Source organism: Homo sapiens, chromosome 17, assembly GCF_000001405.40.
Source record: "Homo sapiens chromosome 17, GRCh38.p14 Primary Assembly".
Classification (NCBI taxonomy): Eukaryota; Metazoa; Chordata; class Mammalia; order Primates; family Hominidae; genus Homo; species Homo sapiens.
The window spans coordinates 28877845-28897757 of NC_000017.11; the positions used below are offsets into that span (position 1 = coordinate 28877845).

Sequence of the window (19913 nt, forward strand, 5' to 3'; positions counted from 1 at the left end):
TAGCTGGGACTACAGGCGCCTGCCACCATGCCTGGCTAATTTTTTGTATTTTTAGTAGAGACAGGGTTTCACTGCATTAGCCAGGATGGTCTCGATCTCCTGACCTCGTGATCTGCACGCCTCGGCCTCCCAAAGCGCCAGGATTACAGGCGTGAGCCACTGTGCCCAGCCCATTTTTGTAGTTTTTAATAGAGACAGGGTTTCACCATCTTGGCCAGGCTGGTCTTGAACTCCTGACCTTGTGGTCCACCCAACTAGGCCTCCCAAAGTGCTTGGATTACAGGCATGAACCACCACGCTCAGCTGCAATTCAATTTTTTTCCCCAATACAGACCCAGTTGTTCTAGCACCATCTGTTCCTTTCTGCCTTGAATTGTCTTGGTGCCTAGAAATACCTTTTAAGGTGTATCAAATGATATCACTCCTTTTTCAAAGCCTTTCAGTGGTTTCCCACCTCAGAGTAAAGACCACAATATGCCTCATTAAGGTTCTACATGATCTGGAAAGATGAGATCCTGACTCATCTCCTGATACCCTGACTTACTCCCTTGCTCCAAACATCCTGACCTTGCTATTCTTTCATCATGCCAGACACTCTCCTGCCTCAGGGCCTTTGGATGGAAAACTCTTCCTTCAGATATCTGAATGGCTCAATCCTTTACTTTCTTCAGGGCTACCTTCTTAATGAGGCCTTTTTTGGATACCCTAAAATTTCAGCGGACTCCCACACTTCCTATAATTTCTTTGACTTCTTTTCCTTATGACTTACCATTATCTAACATACTGTACGTTTAATTTTTCTTGTTTCTATCTGAATGTAAGCTTGAATGGCTGTGCATTTATTTTGTTGACTCATTGCTCTGGCATCTAAGACAATGCTTAGTACATTGCAAGCATTTGATAAATTCATTAAATGAATAAGAATATTGAGGCCCAGAAAGATGAAGTTACTCACCTAAGATTACACAGGTAATGAACAATAAAGCTAAAATCTAAACCTACATTGCCTTACTTCAGAGTCTAAGCTCTTAAGCCTGAGAGATGGGCTCCATTACTGAGTAGGGCTCAGTATACCGGTACAGAGGTGCAGTGAACCTGGCAGTTTCCTCCACCTTTTCTTCTTTTTTTTTTTTAAGAGATGGAGTCTTCCTATGTTGCCCAGGCTGGACTCAAACTCCTGGGCTCAAGCAATTCTCTCACCTCAGCCTCCTGAGTAGCTGGGACTACAGGCATGTGCAACTGCACCCTGCTAGTCCCCTCCACCTTCTGCCTGTGATGGAGCCAGGTGTTCCAGGGCTGGGGTTTGGCCTAAGCATCTTAGCCAATCAGTCATGTCCAAGGCGCAACTGGGGGCAAGGCCAGTGTGCTGTTGCTCCCCAGTGGCTAGAATGCGGAAGAACAGGCTAAAAGCTGCCTTGAAGCTGAAGAGAGGTAGGGGACCTGGTTGGTTCTCGGTTCGCAGTCTCTCTCCTCACAGAAGACACAATGCAGGGGTGGGCATTAAGAGTTCTTTATTTTACCAGAAGGGACAGGCAGTGGGGCAGTGCAACATCCAAGCCCCAGACCAGACATGCAGCATCCACATGCAGGAAGAGCTACACAGGCTGGGGCAGGGCCAGGGTGGGGAGCTGGGACCACTGGACATTCACAGCACCCCTGCCAAGACGCTTGGGTCCTGGGCTCTTCTGCCTCCATTGGAGCAAGGAGACAGAGGATTGGGTTGCTTCCCCATGGCTGGAACCCCATCACTCTGGCCAGGAAGAAAGATGGCACAAGGGCTCTGGGGTCTGGCCAGGCTACAGCACTCGATTCTGTACAGGGTTGGCACAGCCTTGTCCACCAGAAGGGCCCAACACCCAGGACAGTGCAGCCCTAGCAGGAAGAAGGTCTACACACTTTTCTGTCCCCAACAGGGCTAGACCCTCATCTCAGAAAACTTAGCAGAGTTGGGACCAAACCGCACCGCCCCAGCAGGAACATGCCCATGAAGAGGCCTTCCCTGAGCACAAGCAGGGGCCTCCTAAGGCAGTAGGAAACTGAGGAAGCTGCTGTAGACAGGAGGCCTTGCCTCTGTGCCCTTGGGGTCAGGGAGAAAGGACAGGGTATGAGCGCTGGCTGGGGCCTTGGGTGGATGAGGGGAAGGACAGTGTCTCTGGGCCCTGCAGGTCATGGCTGCCCAGACCTAGAGGGGCAGCAGCAGGTGAGGCTGTGGGCTTCCTGGGGCAGGGTTTAGGGCTGGGAAGACCAGTCCAGGAGAGAGGACAGTGACCGTCCTACCCAGAACCCCTGCCCATGCTGAGCTCTGGCCAGGGCCATAGGGAGGATGGACAGATGCACAGAGAACTTCAAGGCACCAGGATTCTGAGGAGCAGCAGGGCCACCCCCCACAGAGAGTGATTGTAATAAACATCTTCAGCTTAATCTACATGATGTGCATGGGGGAAAGAAAAAGACAGACAAAGGAAAAGACACGCAGGGAGATGAGACACAAACCTGATGAAAGTGGCAGTGAAAGTGGGGTAAAGGAGAGGAAGAGGAGGAGGTGGACAGACAGGAGAGACAGGAAGACAGCCAGAGATGGCCTGAACACGCAGCACTTCTGGTCCCTTCGAGATAAGGCACCAGAGTCAGTAACGTTCCCGTTGTTCTGTGGGATTAAAACGGGTGCTGGAGGGAGGGCCGGGTGGCTGCTGAAGAGAGTGGGCCTGCAGGAGCCTCACACCTGCACACCAGTGGCCTTCTTGATCAGGGGTATCTGCAAGGATGGGAGATGCCATGAGACCTTGGCTCCAGAGCCCAGGACCACTTTGCCTGGGCCAGTCCGACGGGCTACCTGGGCAACCCCACCGCAGCTAGGCAGGCACATACCTTAGACAGGTCCACGCCTGTGAGGGCATGCACAGAGGCAGGCAGCTCGGCCAGCAGTCGGTTCACTTCTGATGTGACCTTACTGTTGTCTCCACTGAGGACCACAATCTCATCGACCTTGGTAAGTGGGGCAGCGATTTTGGCAGCAATCTAGGAGGTAAGAGTGGGAGGACAGCCTGGTTGGCGCTGACTCTGTTCTCAGCCCGGTCCAGCATCTCTCCCTCCCTTCCTTAACTCACTCCAACCCCAAAGCAGCCTGGGTGGCCCTTAGTCTCGAGCCATGGTAAGAGACGCCCTGTGGGCCAGGGATGGCTTAGGCCTTTGTAGGGTTCCTGCCCCCTGCTGAGGATGCTCCTCATTTAACCCTTCTAGCCATCTGTCCCTGTGTTACTCGCAAGGCCCAGAGAAGTTCTGGCACTTGCCCAGCTTGTCAAGCAAGGACACTTGAACCCTAGGACCCGCTTGGGTGGAAGCCTCACCTGGGGCAGGGCCTCTAGCACCAAGGCCATCTTGGCTGCATCCCCGTATTTCTGGTAGGCTTCTGCCTTGAGCTTCATCCGCTCAGCCTCTGCCTTGCCCATCGCCTCGATGACTGCCGCTTCCGCCTCCCCGATTTTGCGGATCTTCTCAGCCTCTGCCTGTGCCAAGAGGACCTGCTTCACCCTGGGGGAGCCCAGGCCAGTTAGGATCAGTGGGACGTACCAGGGTCCTCTCAAGCCTTGCCTGGGGGCCAGCAAACCTTCAAACCCTCTGCTCTGGGGGCTGTCGGGGTGGGAGACATTGGAACGGAGTGGGGTGGCCTGACCTTCCGGCTCTGGCCAGGGAAAGGCCACCGGCTCCCATCTGTAAGTGGGAGGGGACAAACCAGGATGCCGTCTATGCCCAAGCACTACACCAGGCACTGGAGCCTCCTTTATCTATTTAGTCTTCCCAACAGCAGTCCCACAGGGGACATGGGGTTATCCTCACTTCACAGTGAGTAAGAAGACACAGTGGAGGGGGAGAAGTGGCTTCCAAGCTGTGGTCAGGAGAGTAGAGGGAGTGCACTGAAGGCAGAGGAGCCTGACTAAGCCCTGACCCCGGCACCTGGGCGGCTCTCACTTTTCACCCTCGGCAATCTGCTGGATGCGGTGGGCCTCGGCCTCGGCAGGCCGGCGCACTGTAGCGATGAGCTCCTTGTCCGTACGCAGGATCTCCTGTGCCTCCACGGCAATCTGTTTCTTGCGCTGCACAACCTCAATCTCAATCTCTTCCTGCCGGATCTTCTGCTGTTCACGGGCCCCCTGCAGCTCATAGGCCAACTGGGCCTCAGCTGTCTGTGGCAAGAGGGTGTGTGGCACATTAGAGGCTGGTCACCAAGTCCTGATCCCTGAGCCCCATCCCAGGATGTCCTCAGGCTGCTCACCTTGATGTTAACCTCCTCACTGAAGGCTGACTTTTGCAGCTCGAAGGCTCGCTTAGAGTCAGCAATCTTGGTGTCTGCCATGAACTTCACATCCAGCATCTCCTTCTTGCACTCAGCTTCCTGGGGACAAAAGGGGCAGAAGGGGAAGGTGAGTGAGTAGAGGTCCTGAGTCATCATGGTCCCATCACCCCTGAGCTTCCCATCCTTGAACCCACATACCCGGATGCCTGCGTCCCGTTCAGCCTCGGCCACGCCAATGTCAGCATCTCTCTGCACCACGGCAGTCTGCGTCTTGCCCAGGGAGCTCAGATAGTCCACTTTGTCATACACGTCCTGGGGAGGGAAGGGGGTATCAGAGGCTCAAAGGAGCAGCCAGAGGCACAAAGGTGCCCCTCTAACAAAGCCACCATCTCCCAGATGGACGCCAGGAGATACAGCTTCCCATCACGTCGTACCTTGATGGTGAAGCTGAGGATCTCAATGCCCATGCGGCCAACATCAGGGGCTGCCACCTCCCGCACCAGCTTGGCAAACTGGTCCCGGTCCTGATAAATCTGCTCCACTGTCAGGGTCCCTGGGGGCAGAGGGATCAAGGGCTGGCTCCCCAGGGACCCAGCCAGCTGGGGAAGGGAGGAGGCATGCATGTAGAGGTAGGGGTGCATGCGGGGTGCTGCACTCTGAGCTGGGTCTTCCTGGGGTATCTTCTCAACAGCACTTAACACCGAGCTTCCTGCTGCACAGTCCAGGCTGAATGAGGAAAAGTGTCCCAAGCAGCACTAGGTTCCTGAGCAGACCGACAGCCCCCATCCCACCCCTTCACTCATACCCTCTCCTTAACTCAAGTCACCTGAAGTTTTGAAATTAAATATTTGAGGAAAAGTGTTTTAGCTTGAAACTCCTGTGAAACAGGCCCCCTGCCCAGCCCTGCACACCTCCCTGCCTTGGCTTAGGGGCCCCGTGAGGCTCCTCAAAGGCTGAACAGGGCCTCACCGAGGATGGAGCGCAGATGTCCCTCCAGGGTCTGCAGGACGACGTTTTTGATGTCCTGCACATTCTTACCCAGAAACTGCTCACAAGCCACGGCCAGGAGTTCCTTCTCCGTCATGATCTTCACCTGTCAGTGACGACAAAGGCGCTTCAGCTAGGCTGGAGCGAGGCAGACAAAGGCCCCAGACCCAGAGGTAGGCAGGATGGTGGCTGTGCCTCCTCCCTTCCTTTTTTCAGACCTGGAGGCCCTGGGGGGCTGGAATCTGTCTGAAGCCTCTAGTGGGGAGACAGCAGCACAAGGGCTTCTCTCACTATGAAACTTCTCCTGCACTGACAGCCCCAGGCCCTGCCACGGCCTCTCCTGGGCATTCGGGGCTTGTCTCCCCACCCCTCCAGCCTACTGTCCCCTCACCAGCTAATTCCTCCCTTGCAGGCTTCCTACACGTGGGAGACCCTCAGGCTGAGGGGCAGAGAGTATGAGAAGCAGAATGAGCAATAGGGACACAGACAGAGAAGGAAAGAGCCTGGACAGGGCAGGAGAGGGTTGGGGGATGCAACCGAGGGTGCCTCTCCTTCTTGAGTTACTCAGCCAACCCCTCGCCGAGGCCTACAGCATGGCTGAACCTCACTGCCCTGTGAAGCCAAGAGGTGGATCGGGGCAGGAAGCCCTCACCTAGGCCCTCAGCAGGGGATATGATGCAGCCTCCGACTCCCAGAGTCCAGAGCTCCTCTGCCTCACATGGCCTCTCCCTCTGGGCCCCACCCCTCCCACGCAGTACCCAGGGAACAAGGAAGGCCTGGATTCTGGGGCTTGACATTTCCAACACCTGCAAAGAATGGGGGTGGGGTTAGTGAGCCAGGAGCCCTCAGCACTGGTTCTGTCCCTCGTGGGCCCGCTGAGGAGAGAAGGGGTGTCTGTTAGTCCTGCTGGGTGGCCAAAATGGCCCGGTGAGCATGTTCCAGTGGCGACGACCTGACTAGCCCTCTCTTGTGGGACTTGCGGGGGCTGGGGTGCTGGAGAGAGACTGCCCCTGGCTGCTGTCCTCTCCTCCTCCCCCCGAACCCGAGTACGGGACCAGGCAGCTCAACGGACATGCGCAGGGCTGCTGAGTTACTATACCTGGGCGACACCCGTCACAGTTAAAGCTACCCCCTCGGCCGTCTCTACGTCCTCGCAGCGGGGCTGCAACGTCATAATCTCTAGGGAAATCCTGCCAAGAAACGCAAAACAGGGGCATGGGTCTGGGGGCGCAGGGCCTGGTGGTGTTGGGAAAGAGGCCAGTACCTCACTGCTCCGGCTGGGTCCTGGTGAGGAAGGTGGAGGGAGGACTCTCCACGGGGCTGAGATGGGAGTGTCTGAGAAGGAGGTGGGCACGAGGGCAGGGTGGGTGCAGGTGGCCCCAGGGGAAGGAGTGGAAGTGGGCTGCATATGTGCACACACCCTCTGCTCAAGTCAGCTGAGGAAAAGGAAGTAGAAAGAAGTGGTTGTGGGTGGTCGGGGGCTGTTGGTCAGGGGAGAATCCAGGTGTAGCTGTGTGTATGTTCTAGGATAGCAAGTCAGTGCTGGTCCTCCCGGCCCTGCTGTGCAGGCCATCCGTGGATGTCAACTGAGCCTCCCACAGGGGCCCTTGCCCATTCCTTGGTCTACCCAGCACCCCAGGGTGCCCCAGGAAGTTGCTTGGAAAGCTCTGCCTGATTGCCTGGCATCCTGGAGTATGCCTACTGCTGGGCTAAGATGGAAGTGATTCTGTACCTGCCCCTTGCCAGAGAAGCCCTACCTGGTGGCTGCAGCCTTTGACTTGAAACCCATGTCTGGTATTAGGCCCAGGTGGGTCACATGGGGAATTTAGACTGAAGTCACACTAGAGCTTCTTGGCCAAGGAGTGTTAACCCTGGAAAGAGTTGTTCTGGCCATGCAATCTGACTCCTCCAGGGTCCACAGTCACCCACTTTAAAAGGGATCTGGGCTTTGCAGGTGTTTCAAGTGTAGGTGTGGGTATGGAAGGAGAGAGGACTGCATCAAATAGAGTATTGAAGGAGGCCTGGACCCTACCCCTTCCACACAAGGTGCTCCAAGCCTCCCAGGCCTCTGCACCTCCCATGGCTACAAGGGCTAAGGGGATGGGGATGGTCCCCTTCCCCATTAGAGATGGCAGGATGGGTGAAGAAGGGAGTGGTGGTGTAGTGTTTTTGCCTAAGCAGAGGCTGAAGGGCAACTGAATGCAGAGGGAGGGGGTGAGAAAGATGTGGTTCAGGCCTCTTCCAGGCTGGGAACCCGCTGGCACACAGGCTCTGAGGGGGCAGGGGCTTTTTATTGTTCGCTCCTGCAGTCCACATGCCTCAAACTGAGAAGGTGCTCAGTAGAGAGCTGGTGAATGAAGCAATGAAGAGGGGAACCCACACATGACAGAGTAAGCATTTGGAGCTAATTAACACCCAAGCCCAAGAATAGATTTCACCAGCTATGGCTGCATGGTAACGAAGGCCTGGCATCCAGGGACACTCACTGGCAGACTTGGCAGAGCTTCCAGAATCCCTTGCTGTTTCCCCACTTGCAGTCCAATAGGCAAGGGCAAGGGACCTGGGGATGTACAGGGATCCATCCTGGCACCCAGAGCAGTGGAGGAGAGAAAAGAGGAGAGGGAGGAAGGCACGGTCTCAGGAGGGGAGTCCATCGGCTCCTGTCTGCCAGGCCCCGCAGGGCAGGAAGAGAGAAGGTTAGACACGGAGGAGGAAGCAGGTGGGTTATTACCTGTGCAACCCCTGTTACGAATAGTGGAACCCCCTCCGACGTCTCAATATTCTCACAGCGACACAGGATGGTCATAACCTCCAGAGACAGTCTGAGGAGCAGCCAGGGGGTGGGGAGAGGTAGGGACAGGAAGGGAAGGAGGGGACACAGCAAACACACACAGTAGTTACCAGACAAGCACCGATGCCTGACGCCTGGGGGCGGGGGGGGGCATGCTGTCAGTAATCCAACCCCCCAACTGCCAGCTCAGCCGAGGGCTGCAGGACAGCAGCGACCTCCTGTGCTGATCCGAGGCCTCTGGGTCTCTTCTCTAGCCCCCAAACCCTTTTAGTGAGGACCTGCTAGGCTGGGGAAGATGCCTGCTGCCACCCTGGGCCTGCGGCCTGAGGTCAGGAGGCTTGTGCACAGGGCACCTGGGTTGCCCGCCACCTCACTTTCCCAGGGATCCTGTCGCAATCTGGGAGACTGAGGCTTAGCCCCCCGTCTTCACACAGGTAAACCTGTGTTTCCAGAAATCGGGAGTGGGAGGCTATTCTGGGGACTCCTGAGCTTTAGCAAATGCCGAATCCGCCAGGTCTGCACTATCTATCACTAAGGCAAGGTGAGGCCAGAAAAGCCCAAATGTTCTGATGTGGGGCCAAGGAAGGCTGGGGGAGAGTGTGCTCCTGCCAGAATACTCAGGGATAACCGGGAGATAAGGGAGGCATTTAATTGGGAATTTCCAAAGTTGGCCAGGGGCAGAGAGAAGATTATTGGCAAAGAAAACAAGGTGCCTCGAAGCTCCCTGGCCCATCCTGGCTGGGCCTCCCTAGGCAGTCTGTGTGCAGGGTGATTGTCTAGGCAGAGGCCAGGCTGTGGACAGTGTGGAAGGTTTCCCTAAATCAGAGGAAGGAAGAGAGGACAGAGGCCGAGGGTGAAGGGGCAGAAGCAGGTGGAGGGGGTGATAAGGAGCAGCAGTCGATGTGCAGCCCCCATCTCAATCCCAGGAGGGGCCACCCCCACAGTGCCAGCCCTGGGGCACTGGCCATGCAGATGTGCAAAAGTTGCCTTCATTCGAGCCCCTAACACTAGCATCCTTGGGCCTGAGAGGATTCTTGACCCAGCTCAGACAGGAACCCACCAAGCTCTCTTCTGGGGAAGGAGAGAGGGAAATAGGGGAGAGGGAGGGAGGGAGGAAGGGTAGTGGGGAGGGAAGAAGGGAGGCTGCAGCTCAGATGCCAAAGGTGGAAGAATTGCTCAGGTAAGAGGGAGAGAGCCGCCCATATCAGGGCCTCGGGATAGTATAGGATGTGGCAGCAAAATGCAGCAGGAGGGGTCACTGAGCCTGGAAGAAGAATGGCTGACCCCAAGGGCACGTGACATATAGACAGCTGCAGAAAGGACCTTGAGAGGGAGGCTGAGTATCCAGGCTGAGTTAGAAGCCTCTACTCTGACCCGAGAGGCTCCTGCCAGCCTAGGGAAATAAAGCCCCAGCCTGTGGAGGCGTCCCCCAAGCAGGCTAGGGACTAGGGAAGAGGCTGCCCCCCAGAAAAGGTGTAAGAAGGAGAAGGATTACTGGCTCAGACTACCCAGCAAGTGAGACCAGAGGGAGGATGTAGAGCCTGGGTGTGAGGTCGGTGTCCTGGGAAGAGATACAAGGCCCTTCACCTTTAACTTCCAAACTTGCTGTCAGAAAGGCTTGGCCCTTCTGTCCTGGCTCTGCTCCCTGGAGCAGGAAGGGAGAGCAGGGGACCAAGAATCTGGAGAAAGGACTGCAGGGGAATTGGCCTAGCAGTGGCTGCCCACGCAGGGCAGGTGTCTGGACAAGATACTCTGTTGTGCTGGGAATGCACAGTGTGTGGGGTGGCAGTATGTCTGGAGAGGGCTCCCCACGGCTTCTGACAGGCCACTGGCCCACTCAGGTGTGGCCAGGATCCTCTCGAGTGGAGGCTGTGGCCACTACTGATTACTCTGACACTTTGAGCCTTGGACCAGAAGAGTCCCCAGCATCGCTCACCTCTGGTCGGGTAAAGTGAGGGGAGAGGTGGGAGAGTGCAGCGGTTACTGAGAACCAGTGAAGTTAATCCATTGTGCCATGCTTCCCATTCCCCCCGACCCTAGCAGATGCCCTCAGACTCCCAGGAGCCTCAAGCACTAGCAGCTTGGTGCAGACGTGAGCTGCTGACGGGTGGGGGATGGGGCAGAGGGGGTTTCCACTGGAATCTCCATGATTTCCCCTGTGGGGTGACCGACCACCTTGCAACATGCCCACAGCTCTGCTGCCCTTGTTGCCTGGGTCCTGGTTGGGAAGGATCTGCTCCTCCCCTCCCCACCGCCCCATCTCCCATAATGAGGAAGGGGGCGATCGTGGAAAGGTAGCTGGCGTGCCTCATCTCCCGGGTGGGCAGTGAGGGTGGCAGGAGAGGCCAGGTCTGGCCCTGCCCTAGGCTCTGCAGGCAGCGGCAGGTAGAGCTGGATGGTGGGCCCTCTGGGGAGCTGAAATCTCACTTCCTCTAGTAAGTCTTTCCAGACTGATTTAGGAGGTCCAGACCTGTCTTGCTCAGCCCCAGCACTAATTCGTTAGGTCCCCCTCCCTGTCTAACTTACCACTGTCACAGAACCACTTTTGACTATATGTCCATTCTCTGCCACATAGTCCCTGCCTGGATTACCCCAGGGCCTGCATGGGTAAGGGTGTGCATGGGGTCCCTCCAGCCTTTCCTCCCTTCATATGCCCACTCCAAACTGGGCGTATAATAAAGACTTCTTAAATAACTTTGAGTTATAATCAGGAAATCAAGATTCTGCCTGGGTTATGACCCTGAATTCTCTGGGACAGAAGTAATGCCACCTCCAGTGGAAAAAAGAACACCCACTAAGGAGGGGGTGCCCATGACAGACCTTCCTGATGCATGTCTCCTGCACCCCTGTGCAACCCATCTTACATGCTTCTTAGGAAGTCCCCCCCAACCCCACCCCTCCACCGCCAGAATGGAATGTGGAAATGGTAGATGCTCTAGCTGACCCTCAGAGTGAAGCAGAACAATGCTGGAAGCCCCTCTCTCCCTGGCCCACTCCATGACAGGTCCTAGAGCCCCCAGGTGCTTACCTCTGAGTGTCGGAGATACACCACCAGGCCCAGGCCCAGCCGCCAAACACGTACTGTTTATAGTCGGAACCACAACAGCCCCCTGGGGAGCAAAGCAAACCACCGCAAGTCAGTCGGTTCTTGGGTCTGTCTACCCTCCAGCCCACTGATAGCAACTTTTGTCCTTTACCTGCTCTGATACTTGACAACGCCTACTGTTGGGTGCCTAGTGCTGAGGTTACACATCAATGAGAGAGAAGTTCTCCCTACCCTTATGGGAGTTAAAGTCTAGATTGGTAGACAGGCAATTTACATAAAGAGAAGGATAGCCAATGAATAGTTTAGAATGTAAGTGCTTCCAGAGAAAAGAAGAACAGAACAGGACAATGGGCAGAGGTGATCTGAAAAAGCTTTTTTTTTTTTTCAGACAGAATGTCACTCTGTTGCCCAGGCTAGACTACAGTGGCGCAGTCTCGGCTCACTGCAACCTCTGCCTCCTGGGTTCAAGTGGTTCTCCTGCCTCAGCCTCCTGAGTTGCTGGGATCACAGGTGCCCGCCACAGCATACCTGGCTAATTTTTGTATTTTTAGTACAGACAGAGTTTCATCATGTTGGCCAGGCTGGTCTCAAACTCTTGGCCTTAGGCAATCTGCCTGCCTTGGCCTCCCAAAGTGCTGGCATTACAGGTGTGAGCCACCTCGCCAGGCCAGCTTCCTTTTTTTTTGGTTTTTCTGGAGATGGAGTTTTGCTCTGTTGCCCAGGCTGGAGTGCAGTGGCGTGATCTTGGCTCACTGCAACCTCTGCCTCCCAGGTTCAAGCAATTCTCCTGCCTCAGCCTCCCGAGTAGCTGGGATTACAGGCATGCATCATCATGCCCGTCTAATTTTTGTATTCTTAGTAGAGACGGGGTTTCACCATGTTGGCCAGGCTGGTCTCGAACTCTTGACCTTGTGATCCACCTGCCTCAGCCTCCCAAAATGCTGGGATTACAGGCATGAGCCACCACGCCTGGTCCAGCTTCCATTTTTAATTAATTAATTCAATAAACAAGTATGCCCTGGAGTTCACCTGTTATCACGGGGGGTGTAGACAGAGAGGGAACGCAGACAGGGACAACACTGGGGGGCTGGGAGGGAAGGAAGAGTCTCCCAACCAAGGCGAGAGGGTTTGCTCTTCTGCCTGGCAGACACATCTCAGTGAGGCTGGTTCTCTACTTCCAAAACATTCAGAATGACTTTGTTCCTCTCATGGGAACGGGTGGGGAAGGCAAGGCCTCAAAACAAAGGCTAACTTGTGGTACCAATGGGAGAAGTGGAGAAAGCAAAAAGGCCTAAAAAGGAAGTGGTTCTTGGAAACAGTGTGTCAGCTACACAGAACATCTAATTCAGCCACAACCCAGATCCATGCTGTAGACATGTTCTATATGTTCCCTATACAGAAACGAGAAAAATCAATTCCTGAGATTTCTTTTTTTTTTTTTTGAGACGGAGTCTCGCTCTGTCGCCCAGGCTGGAGTGCAGTGGTGCGATCTCAGCTCACTGCAAGCTCCACCTCCCGGGTTCACGCGATTCTCCTGCCTCAGCCTCCCGAATAGCTGGGACTACAGGTGCCCGCCACCACGCCCAGCTAATTTTTTGTATTTTTAGTAGAGACGGGGTTTCACCGTGTTAGCCAGGATGGTCACGATCTCCTAACCTCATGATCTGCCCGCCTCAGCTTCCCAAAGTGCTGGGATTACAGGCGTGAGCCACTGCGCCCGGCAATTCCTGAGATTCTTGTAGTGAACTCTCTTGTTAATGCCAAAATTCCTCATCAAGTTCAAGGAAACCTTCATAAAACTGGACAGGCAGTTAACTTGCAGTGCAAAAAAATGTACAGGAAACAGTATTCAAAGGAAATATGTGATCTGGGAAAAACCAGAGAGTGTTATCATTTCTTCTTTTTTTTTTTTTTTTTGAGACAGGGTCTCATTCTGTTGCCCAGGCTGGAGTACACTGTACACGAGTACAGCACTGCTGGAGTACACGGCTCACTGCAGCCTCCACCTCTTGGGCTCAATCCATCCTCCCACCTTAGCTTCTCGAGTAGCTGGAACCGCAGGTGTGTGCCCCCATGCCCAGCTAATTTTTGTATTTTTTGTGGAGACAAGGTTTCACCATGTTGCCCAGGCTGTTCTCGAATTCCTGGGCTCAAGCGATCCACATGCGTTGGCCTCTCAAAGTGCTGGGATTACAGGCATGAGCCGCCGCGCCTGGCCGAGCATTATCATTTCCATGTTCACAAAGTTAGGTTTTCATGAAAGCTTCAAAGAACCTCAAAAGGTTGACTGACTCCCAAGGTCAAGGGTCTGGGGGAGTTTCATGCAGCTGGGTTAGTGTCTCTGAGGACTCACGGCAGGGAATAAGGCAAGTGGAGGGGCAGAGGGCAGATCACACAGTGTCTTGTGTGTCAGGCCAAGAAGCTGTGTATGTGAGTGACAGGGAGCAAGGTTACCCTTGAGAAACACACACCACTTTGCATGAGGAGGAAGACACTGGGATCAGGGAGACTGGTCTCTTGCAGTAATCCAGGCAAGGCATGGTGGCTGATACTGGCAGACAACTTCTAGAGCAGTCTTATCCATGACAACTTTCTGTGAGGGTAGGAATGTTCTATATCTTCTTCTGTGTTTATGCTGTGCAGTACAGCAGCCTCTAGCAACATATGACTGTTGTGCACTTCAAATGAGGCTGGTATGACTGGGGAACTGAATTTTTTAATTAATTTAAATGGCCACCTGTGGCTCCTGTCCACATTGGACAGTGCAGCTGTAGAGTCTGGGTTTGGGTGGGTGTTGAGGACAATAATAGAAACAGACACAATGGAGAGAATGGGAAACTGGGGACAAATTTTCGGTGGGTGGAGGCAAAGAAATAAAGAACCGCTCCACCTCACCCCCAGTGGGGAGGGCTTGAAAGGTTGGAGAGCTGGCATCTAATACTGCTTACCAGGTAGGTAACCCAGTTTTCTGGGTCTGCTGCCATGCGTGAAGTTCCAGCAGCAGAACCAGAGGTCCAGGGATCAAAGAGCAGTGTGGGCAGGGAACAGTAAGACGGGGTCCTGGGTCTCTGTCTGTTTCTCTGGGGTAGAACTACCTGTTAACAGGGCTGCTGTTCAAGGTAAGCCATTCCGGGCTTCTCTGACCTGGGAAGTGGGGTGGGGAGGCCTCTGAGGACAAGCACTCAATCTGAAACCCAAACCATCTCAGGATCAAGTGAAACTGGAAGGGGACCAAAAATCACAGCTTATTCTACATCTTCTGGCCTGGTGGGGGCTGGGGCATGGCTGCCTTGGGCTAGCCCCATGGGACTTCTCAATGTGCAGTGGGAAGGTGGTAGTGGTGGGGGTAGGATGTGGGAGTGGGGTGGGGGATGGACAGGGTAGATGGCCACTCTTTTTTTTTTTTTTTTTTTTGAGATAGAGTCTCGCTCTGTCGCCCAGGCTGGAGTGCACTGGCGCAAGCTCCGCCTCCTGGGTTCACGCCATTCTCCTGCCTCAGCCTCCCAAGCAGCTGGGACTACAGGCGCCTGCCACCATGCCCAGCTTTTTTTTGTATTTTAATAGAGCCGGGTTTCACCTTGTCAGCCAGGATGATCTCGATCTCCTGACCTCGTGATCTGCCCGGCTCGGCTTCCCAAAGTGCTGGGATTACAGGTGGGAGCCACCGTGCCCGGCCCTAGATGGCCACTCTTTATCTTTTTTTTTTGAGACAGACTCTTGCTCTGTTGCCCAGGTTGGAGTGCAGTGCCACAATATCAGCTCAATGCAACTTCCGCCTCCCAGATTCAAGTGATTCTCCTGCCTCAGCCTCCCAAGTGGCTGGGATTACAGGCAACCACCACCACGTCTGGCTAATTTTTAAATTGTTAGTAGAGATGGGGTTTCGCCATGTTGGCCGGGCTGGTCTCGAACTCCTGACCTCAGGTGATCTGCCTGCCTTAGGTGCCCAAAGTGCTGGGATTACAGGCATGAGCCACCGCACCCAGCCCACCCTTTACCTTTAACTTATTCTTTGGCTTGGGGAGCAGGCTGCCACAGCTCAAGCTGGGCCTTGGCCAAGGGCAACATTGCCAGGTTCCCAAGGGTAGCAACAACAGGAAGCTGAAACTGCCAGATTACCCGCCCCTACCAGCATCCTCCCCTGGAAGGCAACTTCCTGCCAGCTTCCTGGTCACTCAGCCTGAGCACCCCTCCCAAGAGGCCAGTTAGGTGCCTCTTCCTTGATTTCCCTAACTCTTACTCGTCTCAAGACCTGGAAGTTTCTCCTAACTGTACCTCACTCTATTCTTTCTAACCCAACTTGCTTTCCCTTTCCACAATTGAGCTGAAGAACCACAAAATACCCCACGATAACCTCTGTTCCACTCCCTTAGCCCTTCCCCAGGACACAGCCCACCACTCTGCCCTCTCAGGAGCATCCCCTGCCCTTCCTGGCCTTCCTCCACCTTCTTTTTTTTTTTTTTTTTTTGAGACAGTATTGTGCTCTGTCACCCAGGCTGAATGCAGTGGTGTAATCACAGCTCACTGCAGCTTTGAACTCACGGGCTCAAGCGATCCTCCAGCCTCAGCCTTCCATACATCGCAATGCCTGTCTAATTAAAAAGAATTGTTTTTGTAGAGACAGGGTCTCGCTGAGGGAAGAGAGAGACCCTCTCATATTGTTTTATACTCAGTACCTGTTTTAAGAAAAAAACAAGGAAGTGAAATCAAAGACAGGCAGCCCAGCGCCAGGCCCGAAACCAGGCCTGGGCCTGCCTGGCCTAAACCTAGTAGTTAAAAATCAACTCATAACTTAGAAACCGATGTTATTCATAGATTGCAGACATTTTATAGAAGAACATTGTGAAACTCCCTGTCCTATTCTGTTTCACTCTGACTACCAGTGCATGAAACCCCTGTTACGTATCCCCTAGATTGCTCTATCAATCACGACCCTTTCATGTGAAATCTTTAGTGTTGTGAGCCCTTAAAAGGGACAGAAATTGGGCACTCGAGGAGCTCGGATTTTAAGGCAGTAGCTTGCCGATGCTCCCAGCTGAATAAAGCCCTTCCTTCTACAACTCAGTATCTGAGAAGTTTTGTCTGCAGCTCGTCCTGTTACATCACTATGTTGCACAAGCCGGTCTCAAACTCTGGGCCTCAAGTTCTCCTCCCACCTCGGTCTCCTAAAGTGCTGGGATTACAAGTGTGAGCCAGTGTGTCCAGCCCACTTTCTTCCTACTAGTCAAGAAGTCCATATCCTGGCTGGGCATGATGGCTCATGACTGTAATTCCAGCACTTTGGGAGGCTGAGGTGGGAGGATTGCTTGAGCCCAGGAGTTTGAGAACAGTCTGGGCAACACAGGGAGACCCTGTCTCTACAAAAAATTAAAAATTAGCAGCCAGGCATGGTGGCTAACACCTGTAATCCCAGCACTTTGGGAGGCCGAGGTGGGCGGATCACTTGAGGCCAGGAGTTTGAGAACAGCCTGGCCAACATGGTGAAACCCTGTCTCTACTAAAAATATAAAAATTAGCTGGGCACTGTGGCGTGCACCTGTAATCCCAGCTACTTGGGAGGCTGAGACATGAGAATGGCTTGAACCTGGTAGGTGGAGGCTGCAGTGAGCTGAAGTCATACCACTGCACTCCAGCCTGGGCAACAGAGCAAGACCTTTTTTTTTTTTTTTTTTTTTTTTTTTAAATACTGAGTGTGGTGGCGTCCACTTATAGTCTCAGCTACTTGGGAGGCTGAGGTGGGAGGATTGCTTGAGCCTGGGAGGTCGAGGCTGCAGTGAGCTGTGATCATGCTACTGCACTCTAGTAGCCTGGGTGACAGAGCAAGACTGTATTTAAAAAAAAAAAAAAAAGTCCATATCCTACTAGGGGGTTTAGTCTTTTTTGAGCCACATACCCCTTTAGCAATCCAGCAATGCCTAAGGACCCCTCCTCAAGAATATTTGTTTATTATTTATTTATTTATTTATTGAAACAGGGTCTCACTCTGTTGCCCAGGCTGGAGTGCAGTGGTGTGATCTTGGCTCAATGCATCCTCTGCCTCCTGGGCTCAAGCGATCCTCCCACCTCAGCCTCCGGAGTAGCTGGGACCACAGGTATGTGCCACCACTCCTGGCTAATTTTTTTTTTTTTTGGTAGAGACAGAGTTTTGCCATATTGCCCAAGCTGGTCTCAAACTCCTGGCCTCGAGTGATCCATCTGCCTCAGCCTCTCAAATTGCTGGAATTACAGGCATTAGTCTGGCCAAGAATACTTATAAATTCATAAAATAAATACATAAGAAATTATATTGAAAGTTATCAAAATTTAAAACCAAGTGTGCAATATTAGTAATATGTCATTCTTTATTAATACATTAAATAGTAAGATCTAGTGGTAAATCTAATTATTAGCTTAATGCCAAAATACAGATGAATTATTTCCTTTTTTTTTGAGATGCTTACAAGCGTGCATCACTATGCCCGGCTAATTTTTTGTATTTTTAACAGAAACGGGATTTCACCATGTTAGCCAGAACGGTCTCCAACTCCTGACCTCAGTTGATCCTCCCATCTCGGCCTCCCAAAGTGCTGGAATTACAGGCATGAGCCACCGTGCCCGGCCAATAGATTTTCAAGGTACCAGAAATAACTGTAGTGTAGTAGGAAACTTTTTGCTAATACTATCATGAATTGTTGCCAACATTCATAATCACAGAAAACACTAAATTTCAGTTAGGGTGAGTGAAAATAAAATTATGCTTTTCTCCCCCCTTATCCCCATCCCCCGACCCCATCCAAATGAAAAGGATTCCCCTTTAAAATTTTCAAAAGTAGAGAGAAAAAAGGTTTTATGTTACAAACTGAAGGAGGGAAGTTAGATAATAAGAAAGGATGGAAAAGATGACCATGAGATGTATTAGCATCCTCCTTCTGAAACTGGGCTGGGTGAGATGCCTCTGGTCTTAGACACAGGTCCAAGGAGCAAGGCAGACAGGTGGGGGCAGGGGTGGGGGCAGTTGCTCTGCTCTCGCAGGAGTCCACACACAAGAGGGAGCTGGATCTCAGCTTGATCATCTCAAATCCCAAGGTATCATTGTGCCAGGCATTATCTGTCACCCCCGCCAACCTTCTCTGCTTCCCTGACTCCAGCATCCTCAGTTCTCAGCAAGATCTCCTCTTCCCACCCCTAAAATAGCGTTGAAGCTAACAGTGCATTGACTTCTGTTCTGAAGACCAGGTTCTCAGTAACTGGAAGGCACAGAGCAACCCATCTCTGGGGCTCTTCTTGCCCCTCAGTCCCAAGACTTTCCACAAGGATGGAACTGGAGCTTTTGTCTTCTCAGCTCAGAGTCTGGGCTTCCTGAAGGAAATTCCACAAGAAAAACAAAGTGCAGTGCAGATTCTGGTCTCTAAAAGCCTTCTCTAAGGGTGGGGACTGGGAGACAGGTTTAGGTCTTATGGAGGAGCAAGTCTGCATTTAGTGTTCTCTGGGAGTCTCCCTTCTGTCCTCAAGGCTATTTCTGGTCTTCAGGGGGGTAGGGTACTTATCTCCCACACACTGGGGATGTCCCAGTGGAGAGATTGATTTTGAGATCCAAAGTGAGCCTGAAGCCATGTTTTGGAATGAAAATTCCCAGTGGATTTATCACCCCTCTCCAAGGGTTGGCAGCTGTGAGGCCTGGCTCAGGGCTTCTATCCCCTTCTATCTCTTCAGTAACCAGTTCTACCAAATCTGCACGCAGGCTGAAAAAATCAGCACTGATAGTGGGAAGATAGAGAAGAGAAATTCCTCCAGCTCCAGGCCTCCAAGCTGTCAGGCACCAGGACCCCCGTCCCCCAGCTCCTGAGAGCAAGGAGCTGCACAACCCGGTGGCTTGCAAGGTGTCAGCCGCTTCTCAAAGCGCCCCAAATATAAAATCTCAATAGCAGTTCCTTTTCCCCAGTACCGCAGTCCCCATGCCCCACCTAGATAGAAATTCTGGAACTTGCAGCATTTTGCAATCCCAAACTGCACTGCCCAGAACCGGGTTTCCCAACCTGTAGAGGCCGCATCCGCGTCTCCTGGGCGGGCAGTGCCGGTAATCCCCAACAAGCCCCAGCCTGCTTGGAATTAACGGGTCTGACTGTGCCGAGAAACGACCTCTGTTTCAGGGCCCCTCCCCATACAGGCACCTGCCCTCCAGGGCTGCGCGACCCGCCCCCCATCCCGGGCGCTGGAATCCAGCCAAACCTCTGCGTTCCCGGAACCACCAGTTCCCTCCCTCCTGGAACCCCGCGGCTTCAGTTCGGGACCCCCAACCTCACAGTAGAGCGGCGGGGAGGCCCGCCTAGGGAGGGGGAGGAGAAGCAAATAAACACAGGAAAACCCACAGCGGGAGGGGGAGCCCCTGGTGGGTGCCCGAGGGTGCGCAGCAAGGAAAGCGTGAGCACGAGATCTCTCTTGGAAGGGGCCTCAGGTGCGGCCCGGGGGCCAGCGCCCTGCGCCGCGCGGTGGACTCAGGCCCAGCTCTTCCCCGTGCACTCCCCAGCCCTGCACCCACCCCGAGCACCCTCCACAGCTCCCACCTTCCTCGCCGCCCCCTCACCTGAAACCACCAGCGCCTCGTTGGGCCCCACCGTGTGGCAATTGCCCATGGCGCCGGCGGCACGGAGGGCCCTCGGGACCGCACAGACCCGGACAACAGCAGCGGGTCTGCAGCGCCGGCCGCGCCCAGCCTATCCCGCCACCCCCAGCGGCCGGCCGCCCGCTCGCTCGCCCGCGCCCCTCTGCGGTCGCAGCCCCGCCGGAAGTGTGGCGGCGGAGGGCGGGGCCGGCGC

At 53.8% G+C, this 19913-nt stretch overlaps 1 protein-coding gene across 5 annotated transcripts, besides 5 other annotated features; it reads right to left on the minus strand.

The window, feature by feature from the left end:
- Positions 1 to 1494: 1494 nt before the first annotated feature.
- On the minus strand, positions 1495 to 19889 carry FLOT2 (flotillin 2). 5 transcript variants are annotated; one of them, NM_004475.3, is made up of 11 exons: positions 19682 to 19889; positions 11101 to 11182; positions 6381 to 6471; positions 5264 to 5387; positions 4729 to 4847; positions 4493 to 4606; positions 4274 to 4393; positions 3970 to 4184; positions 3348 to 3531; positions 2869 to 3018; positions 1495 to 2755 (listed from the first exon to the last, which is right to left on the minus strand). In NM_004475.3, exons 1-11 carry the CDS (start codon positions 19728 to 19730, stop codon positions 2717 to 2719), a joined length of 1287 nt encoding a protein of 428 aa, NP_004466.2. In that variant the 5' UTR covers positions 19731 to 19889; the 3' UTR covers positions 1495 to 2716. The 5 variants fall into 5 exon arrangements, with proteins under 5 accessions (NP_004466.2, NP_001317099.1, XP_016879883.1 ...); NM_001330170.2 differs by lacking the exon at positions 6381 to 6471 and adding an exon at positions 8013 to 8103; XM_017024394.2 differs by lacking the exon at positions 19682 to 19889 and adding an exon at positions 19134 to 19208.
- Positions 15551 to 16000: an enhancer, noted in NCBI's record as "active region_11955". NCBI's record gives its function as "activates an Ori minimal core promoter by ATAC-STARR-seq in GM12878 lymphoblastoid cells {active_cell/tissue: GM12878}" and the evidence as "EXISTENCE:reporter gene assay evidence [ECO:0000049][PMID:35858748]".
- Positions 19106 to 19606: an enhancer, noted in NCBI's record as "H3K27ac hESC enhancer chr17:27223968-27224468 (GRCh37/hg19 assembly coordinates)". NCBI's record gives its function as "activates a minimal SCP1, AML or CMV promoter by ChIP-STARR-seq in naive H9 embryonic stem cells {active_cell/tissue: H9 hESC(naive)}" and the evidence as "EXISTENCE:reporter gene assay evidence [ECO:0000049][PMID:30033119]".
- Positions 19106 to 19636: a biological region, named in NCBI's record as "H3K27ac hESC enhancer GRCh37_chr17:27223968-27224468".
- Positions 19527 to 19636: a silencer, noted in NCBI's record as "silent region_8358". NCBI's record gives its function as "represses an Ori minimal core promoter by ATAC-STARR-seq in GM12878 lymphoblastoid cells {active_cell/tissue: GM12878}" and the evidence as "EXISTENCE:reporter gene assay evidence [ECO:0000049][PMID:35858748]".
- Positions 19747 to 19906: a silencer, noted in NCBI's record as "silent region_8359". NCBI's record gives its function as "represses an Ori minimal core promoter by ATAC-STARR-seq in GM12878 lymphoblastoid cells {active_cell/tissue: GM12878}" and the evidence as "EXISTENCE:reporter gene assay evidence [ECO:0000049][PMID:35858748]".